Source organism: Homo sapiens, chromosome 13 (assembly GCF_000001405.40).
Source record: "Homo sapiens chromosome 13, GRCh38.p14 Primary Assembly".
NCBI lineage: Eukaryota > Metazoa > Chordata > Mammalia > Primates > Hominidae > Homo > Homo sapiens.
This window is the reverse complement of record NC_000013.11, coordinates 72191047-72200130: the sequence shown is the minus strand read 5'-3', so window position 1 is coordinate 72200130 and position 9084 is coordinate 72191047. Positions and strand designations below refer to the sequence as shown.

Here is a 9084-nt window from a genome sequence, read left to right as displayed (position 1 = left end):
ATTTATGCATATACATGTATGTATGCATTAGGAATACTCAAAATAGAAATGAAACTCCAAAGACTTCCTGAATTGTCTCCATCAGAAAATATAATCGATGCTGTTTTACCTGTGATGCAAACACTATCTCCTGCTGTTTTTGAAAAACAAAGGAGCTGCAGTGTTAGAAGTGTTCCAGCCTAGCCTGTCTACCTGCAGGTCTCACATATTCACTGCACTTGATTTACCAGCAGGTTGTTTAGTGAGAGCACATGTAACCTAGTGGACAAGACAATGCAATGTCATCAGAAACACTGAGCATTTAAAAATGTTTCAGTGGTCTAGCATGTATTAAGAAGTCACTGGACATATATGCCTGAAAACTTTCAGTTCATATTTATGTGGTTACGACTAATAAAGGGAGGAAAGGGAAAATAAGTGTGCCATTTAAAAAAGAATATAGCATATAAATACCTAAGACAAGGATTTCATAACAAAAGGGCAAGCTAACCTTACTAAATGCTGATTACCCAGTATATAATAGAAAAGGAAATAAAGCGTTTTTATAAAATGTATCAAATCCTAAGAGTGCTGTTAAACTCATTAAAGAAAAAATGAAGTTAGAGAAACTGGTCTTATTTTTTTTCACTCCCAGTAGAGTTCATTTCTACTTCAACAACTAAGCCAAGGTCACATTTAACTCACTTCAATTTCACCCAGTGCACAAGCTAATGTCAATAGTACAGCTGCCATGCAGAGCTAAAGACTGATGGTTAGACAAAGCCATTTACACAAGGCTGGGTCTTTCATCTTCTCTCAGCCAGTGACATAAGAAAGCACTGAGGTTATTCTCAACTAGAGACGAAAACTGGCGTATTAGAAAGAATGTTATTCTCCTTAGCTGTCACACAAAGGATATGAAGAAATGTAGAAATGTTTTTTTTTCTTCCCTCCCCCCTCCCTCTGGTCATCTGGGGAGATCACAAAGTGACTCTAATAGCCTTCACTCTGAAATTTTCACATGGTTTAAGTGATTGCCAAGTCTGATATTTTCCATTTACACTTCATTGCCATCAGAAAAAGAAAAAAAAATCAATATACCTACCTACTCAACTGTGTCACAGGATGAGCTTATAAAAGAAGACATCAGTCTTTTTAGGGCATGAAAAATATACTTATTCAAATATATCTTATTTAAAATGACATAAATTGCAGTGGTTAGTCAAGATTCGATTTCCTCTAAAATATAAGATTTAAAATATTCCTTGACTTGCCAGCAATCAGAATCCTTCAAATTGTTGATATATACAGATGTACTTGTTTTCTGATGTAAGTCATTCTGACTGTATTTTATTTTAGTGCATTAGTGACTACCTTTATTAATTTCACAGGACCTAAGGCACCTCATTTTATGAGACCACACCAGGTAGTCATTTTTTTTTTCCTTCTCAGGAAATAATTCTATTTTGAACCTTACTTTTCTATTGTATGGCTTTTTGCACTTTTATCTCTATGTCTTTGAAAAAATGAGGATGTTTCTTTATATTATTCTAATAATATTGTACATTAAGATTCTATTCTGTCTTAACTTGTTTTAACTATTAAACTTCTTTATGCAGAAAAGGTGTAATGAGTTCGGTGTAACATTTCAAGTGCTTTTGTTAAAATCAGAGGTAATTTTAACTGTCAAAGGAACATCCATGTCAGATTGGTCTTTCAATTAAAAGAAGTCTCATGTCAAATTTGAGTGCAATGACTGTGTGTTATATACATCTCTATGTTGTGGATATTTCAAAATCTTCCATTTCAGGAGCTCCTCTTTTGAAATATGGTGAAAGAGGGGGACTCTTGGTGGCTGTGCCCTAGATTTCCTGAGTGAATCACTCCTCGAGTGTCTTCCTCCCAGACACCTCACTGCGTGTGTATAGCATCATTATAGCAGGAAACCTAGAGGACCAATACAATGCTTTCAGGTTTAGACATACTTTTCAAATTCACCTGTCAAGGAGCTCTGAAACAGTGATGGAATCTTCACCTTCCTACTGTAGTGCCAACTGATACGTCTGCAGAGTTCTGTATTTGTTTATCTCTGATTTCCAGCCCCTACCTGCAAGATGAGAATGGTGCATGCCAACTAAAAAACAGAGACGAAGGAGGAGGAGGAAGAAGAGAATAAAAAAGCAAAATTCAGTGTCCGGGGTCACTCTTGGACTCAGTTCCCCGTGTGGCAATGCAACACACTAACAGTTTGAGTTACTGGGCCATCCCCCACAGTTACAAGTATTTCAAGGTCAATTTATCAATTTAACAGCTTCATCTTCTTAATCACTAAACTTCTGTCTCTTTGAGCTTGTGCTGAAAGACTGTGGCTGCTAATTAAAATGGAGCTTTACTAGCAAGTACACAAATTAGATCCTGTCAGTAAGTTTATTCTAACTATTGGTCATTTCTAAATGCCTTTTTAATCCCCTAATTTTTACATTAAAATTCAAAAGCCTAACAATCTTAATCACCCCTACATCAAATTCATCATTAAGAACAGGAAGCCAGATGGTATAATTTTGATTTACCGGACTTCAGCGTGAATTAATGTACTGAGTGCCGATAATGAATACATCAAACCTGATATTGCAGAAACCTATGAATCTGGCATGTTAAATTAATAACACACTCTGCACAATGAAAGCATGTAAGCTCATATAAAACTGAGGAGTAATGGGCCCTTTTATTTTAAATGGTCTTTATTAGCCTTCCGTTTTGACTCTTAAGAAAAAGATGAGCATTTTGTTTAGTAGTATACTTGTTCATTGTACAACTATTTTTCCCCAATGTAATACAACATGAACAAAATTGGGATGATTAATAACAAAGCTAGTATTGAAAAATTTGCTTGAAGATTCCTCAGAACAGCTACTAGCTCTGCATTTATTTTGGGAATTGTACATATTAGAAAGAGTTGGGAAATTTCTGGAAAACATTACGTATGTAAAATGTTACTGTTTTCTTATACTGGACCAATTGTTCATAATATATACACCTAGAAATTCCTCTTATATAGTAAGCTTTTCTAAAGCAGGTACATGCTATTTTATTCCTTATTGTTTCATTACCCCTAAAGATGTACTGTTTTATAACTATAAATTAAATAGAATCCATAGCCAATTGTACAAATCATATGTGCAAAAGAATACTAATAATAAACGATCGCAGAGTTGCTCACTGTATTGAAAACGTCGACATCTGAAGTAAATTGAAGTTTTGTTTCGTGATAATGCTTATAAATGCTTCTGCTAATTTATTTACATGTTTTTGTTAAATATATTTTCATTTTTATAATTTATAGAGAATACCAACTGTTGTTAAGAATTACCAGGATAAAAGATAAAATATCTTCATCAATTAAGTGAAAAAATCTGGAGAGTAAAATTAGGACCTAAAATATATATATTTTTGGGCAACTTAGAGTTTGTACAAAGTAGTGTCATCCAAGCAAGCGAGAAATACGTATTATTTCCGTCTGAATTTTCCAAAATGCAGGATTTATTAAATCAAATTGTGACTGTTCTTTAAGAACGGTCGGGAGTTTTTCTTTCATAGGAGCAGCAGGATTACAAATTGGCTGTCCGATATGAGCCTGAAAATGGCCCTGTGTAATATACTTTGTAAATGAAGTCTTTTAAACGCTTGAAGTGGTTTTGCCTTATATTCCTAATACATATCAATAGGAAGATCCAGAAATGTGGAGGGGAGCAATCTTTGCTTTTGACTCAACACTATCTATAATGGTATTTGAAGAAGGTGAAAATGCCTATTTTACTTTTAAAGTGGTGATAGGTGACCAAACGCTGCAGGTTAACAACATGAGCTGTCTCTCAATTGCACAGACCTTCGTTTTTCACTGCTGGGTAGGTGTGCCAAATATTTCAGCAGCCTGCCTCTGAAATGAAGGCAGTGCCACAAATAGGATAATGTTCAAAAAAATGGTACAAACCTTACACTAAGTGCTATTTTCTAGATAACATTGCTCATTGGTTCAATCCATACTCACACTTGCAAGACAGTATAGAGCATAATTTGTATCTCTTAGAGATACAGTGCTAAGATTTATTACAGAAAAGAGAAGGGATGTATTAGGGTTTTATCTTAAGGGTAGGGAAAATAAAAGCACTTTTGGGGCTCCTGGTATTTATTTTTGTGACTTACCCTTCAAAAATTGTGCATTTTAATAAAGATTAGGCTTTTAAGAAGTACACCTTTAAACCTTACATCAATTTGAATGGAATAAGTCGGTTATTTCTGGCTGAAAATTTTTCTTACTCTTAAATCTCTTTAACTGAAGCTCATTTGACAAACCTATTATAAAATGAATAAATGCAGCACTGTGTGATTTGTCCACTGTCAACATGTTAACACACTTTATTTGAAGGTAGATTGATGGAGGGTGGCTGAAGGAGTTTACCCTCCTGAGTTAAAGAATAGAAAACCCTTTTTCTCAGTTTTTTTTTCTTCGAAGTTCACAAGAGTAGATATACAATTATCCTCGACTTGCTGATGCAAAGGAACAGAGCATTTAGTTTCTTGTCACTGTCTCTGAAATTCCTAAAGGTACAATTAGCATTTCATTTGACATAATGTTGAAAGGTTCATAGATTGATCTTCCCTAAAATGCAGCAAGAATTTTTTGAAATGCAAATTTTGACATTTATTAACTTTTATTCCAGATCTGTTTATAGACTGTAAAACTGTGCATACATTTAACTCGAAGAAGCTAAAAGGACAATGTTTAGGTGGATACTCTGTGTTATAATAAAAGTCTATTTTATTGTTTCAACAATGAAATTTTTATTATCAGAGATTTATGATATCAGCACAGCAGTTTTTACTGCATGATTCACAGTGTTTTTATAGATGTATATTCAACAAAACAAGGAGAGAAATTGTACTGCAGTACTCTCTCTCAGGAGTGCATTTCCCCATTGAAATAATGTCAGCAGTTTTCCACCTTCAAAGCCCTATGTTTTCAAATCAATTAACAATTCTAATTGTGCAGGAACAGTTGTTCACTTAGCTTGGCAAATGGGACAGGAAACATTATTTCCTTTCTTTGCCTAAAATGAAGACTTTAATCTTCTGAACCATATTTAACATATAAAAAACACACAGCTGAAAAGTTCGACAGTTTGAAACTCGGTTTGCTGGGGCCTTCTGCCTTTCTCCATGGCCTACATTAATTTTCCCGTCTTCCTCAAACCTTGCAGGAAGGCTGGAGTCATAAACAGTTTTACATGTGTGGGTGGACAAACCATCTTCAGATTCATTTAGACTTTTCGTTAATCAGATATTTATCTAGCCAGGCAGTTCTAAGGGTTATTACTTCTCTGAGGTAGCAAACCAAACATTGGTTCTGACCTAAGTTGCGACAGGCAGTGCAGATCTGTATCGGCAAGTTAGAAACAGCTGACGTGGCAGCGTGGGGGAGCCAGGTCTGCTGTTTCACTTAAAGTCCTAATGTCATTTCCACTTAAAAAAATTTTTATTGGGATTAAAGTGCAGCTTGTATGATATTGAACAATGTGGTTCATAAAACAAGGAACACATGCAATCTTATAAGACATTATTAAGTATGTACAGTTTAACCTTTTCTTTTTTTAACCAATGTATATTTGAGTTATAGCTCATAGTGTCTGTCCATATTTATAAAATGGATAAATGCTATGATTTGAGGAGATATTTAGTACTTCAGCATCAGTGAAAAAATGTTCTTTATTATGCTTTCGATAGCTTCTGAGATTATTCAAATACATATTTTTAGAAAGATGGCTTGTATCCTAGAATGATTAAAAGTCTCCAACAAAATAAAGGCTTCTTGATTCACTTCCCCAAGTATTTTAATTTACTGTAGTCGCGTGGATGAATCTCAGTGTGGAAGCCCTATGGCTCGTTATTCCATTTGAATCTTGCTAATTTCAAAGTACACAGATTCTATTTTTATCTAGTAAGGATCCCAAAATTTCTTGATCATATTTTCTTAAGCATGCCATTGCAGGTAAACATTCAGGTTATTCAGTTTCCCCAAATAAAAGTTAAAATACACTCTTGGTATCTCATGAAGATCGAATTTGCAGGAAAATGGTGCATAAACCAGGCCACATGTGTGTAGACTTTGTTGTCTCAATGGAACTGCTGCGGCTGATTTAAAAGTAGGGATGCATTCTGTGGCTGATCTGGTTTAACAAGGAAGTGCAAAATCACATTTTGGTCAGGTGGATTTCAAATGCTTCTGAATGTAGTTCAAGATCGTCAGTAAAAGTCTCTTGGGCCAATGAGTAGTAGCAAATTCCGTGACAGTGTAACAGATAATATAGGACATCTCCATGCATATTTTCTCTTAAACAACAAAAATAACAGGGAAAGAAATTCCGTGCAGAGGTATTATCTTCCCAATGTGATGCGAATGAAAGAAACTCGGTATTTTAAGCATGTTTATGTGTTTGAAAGTGTATATATTTTTGTGTAGTCACATACTTATATGATGTGGCCATAGCTCTAGCACCTTTAAAATCTTATTCAAATGTCACTCACTCCGTGACTGAAGATTTCCCTTATCTCTGCCAAGTGAGAATGAATGATCTCTCCTCCTATCTGTATCCATATAGTGCTTTTAACAAATCACCCTAATTGTACTTAACATTTTCAACTTCAAATTATAACTGTTTTGTATAATATGCCATATTCCACGGTGAGCTTTTTGAATGGGTCAGAATATATTTTATACAAATATGTGCTTTTCATTGCACCAGGTGTTGTGTACAGAGTGAGCTGCACAATAAAGTATTAAATGAGTGCAGAAATAGGAATACAGGGCTCATGTACAGCAGGGTTTCTCAGCCTTAGCACTATTGGCACTGGAGGCCAGACAATTCTTTGCTATGGAGGCTGCCTGTGCATTACAGGATTTTAGCAGGATCCCTGGCCTCCACAACTAGATGCCAGTAGGACACCTACTCCAAGTTGTATCAACAAAAAAAGTCTCCAGACATTGCCAAATATCCTCTGGGGCAAAAAAGTCATCATTCCCTCCTTCTCACATTGAGAGCCACTGATACACACACACACACACAGACACCTCCCAAATACAGAAGGAAAGGCCAATATAATGTTTCTCAAGGAAGCTATAAATTATCAACACAGTCTATGAAATATTTAGCCCTATCAAATCATCTCATTGGTTATACTCACAAATCCTAATAGCTGCATCTTTCTCTCCCCCTCCACCATCTTCATAGGTTCTCATTAACATTTCTTTTTAATTTGCTCAGGTCCACACTAAAATACATCCTTGTTATATTCGGGTTCTGTGAGCTTTATGCCTATACTCACCTCCCCATGTGTGATTTTGAGACTACCATCTTAAGAGTAAAATGAGTTTGGCTTGGCTAGGTGTTCTATCATCACTGTTGCATCAAGGCATGTATTTCAATGAGGAATCAGAATTTATATGTGTAGCTTCCATGGAGTTTTATTTGCATTATCTACATGTTTGTGATTTAGACATGAGTATGTCCATATTTGAGAGTAGTTTTAATACTGAGTAGAGTGTTAAAGAAAGAGGAAATGGAATAGAAAATGTGGAGATTTCAACAAAGGAATTTTATCTGAGGAAAACAAGACAAAGAGAAAAATCAGGAGGAAGGGAGAATTGAAAGAATGTCTCATCAATAAAAACTAGTCATGCTTTGTGTGGTCTCCTTTTTTTTCCCACAGTTTCTCTCTAGCTTGAACCCGATGCTTTAATCATTTTATCTTAGCCTACCTACCAAACCAAAATCTTTGCCTTACTTACTCCTTTATAGTTTTAGTCCCATCATCATTGATATTACTATTTTTACTTCAATATTTTAAATTATCATTATACCATGCCTATAGAAAGAAATCATATATTTTGAAATAATAAAAGAAAGAAAAAATGGCAATTTCAGGAATAATTGTAAGAAGAAGAAATGTAACAAAAATCTTGAATAGTCATTCAAAATTATTTATTTATTCATTTATTTATTAATCTTTAACCAGAATAAAAGATGGGGAGATGTTAAAACTGGCATATGTAGTCATTAACAATATAGTCAGATAAACTACATTAGCCCTAAAATACGGACAATTTAATGGCAAAGAATGAGGCAGTAAGGTAGATCTAACAGAGATTAGCAACAAAATGCACCCCAATAGACTTACACACTTACTGGAGATGAAGCACAAAATTGCTTCAAGCTTTCTTGTAGGTAATGTGAAGAGGAAACCATTATGGGTAAGATTCAGTGTCTTTTAGATGAAAAACCACACCATTGTTTAGGGCAGGCAGAATTATGTTTTATCCTGAGATCAGAGAAACACTTTTCCTTTGGGAAAAAGATGGTGAACTAGTTATAACAACAAAGAACTAAACTAATTTCACACTTTTAAACAACCAAGTAAAAGGGAAAACACTTTGAATTATGTAGTTTTAAATATTCCCCCAAAAGCAGAATACAAACTTAACTAGAAAGAAAAAATAATATTTCCCTGTCACTAAGCTATAGGAAAGATTTGTCACATGAATGCTCCAATAAGAGACTTTGGGTTATATGATGTTCAAACTCTTCCACTAGCTTTTCCAAAAGATGTAGAATGGCTCTCCAAACAGATGAATGACTATTCTTCAGAAATGACCTTTTGTAAAAGCTGAGGGCATAAAATTAAATCATAATTCAGTGAAGGCATTTTTCCAGAAAATAAGATAATATAATCCAGGTATATTACTTTCAGATGCCCTCACCTAGGTCAGTAATAGCATTTAGAGAACTTTGGAGGAATAGAAACTTAACATCCTTTAGATCGATGGTCCTCAAATCTTTTCTGTCCCACCCAGTGGTAAATTAGGCAAAGCATGGGAGAAAGAGGTGAATAGAGTAGAGAAACCTGGAAAGATGCTGTTTTACCTTCTGCATACGTATAAATTCTGTTATTCTGAACAGTTTCATTTTTATTTAGACTATTAAAAGTGTCAATGGAGACTGCAATATTTCCAATGTTTTTAGCCTTTAATGGCCTCAGTAAACCTGAAGAATA

The 9084-nt window shown here is 34.7% G+C and overlaps 1 annotated feature.

Moving 5' to 3' along the window:
• Positions 393-2998: an enhancer, noted in NCBI's record as "VISTA enhancer hs131". NCBI's record gives its function as "enhancer in: eye[3/4]" and the evidence as "EXISTENCE:transgenic organism evidence [ECO:0001131][PMID:17130149]".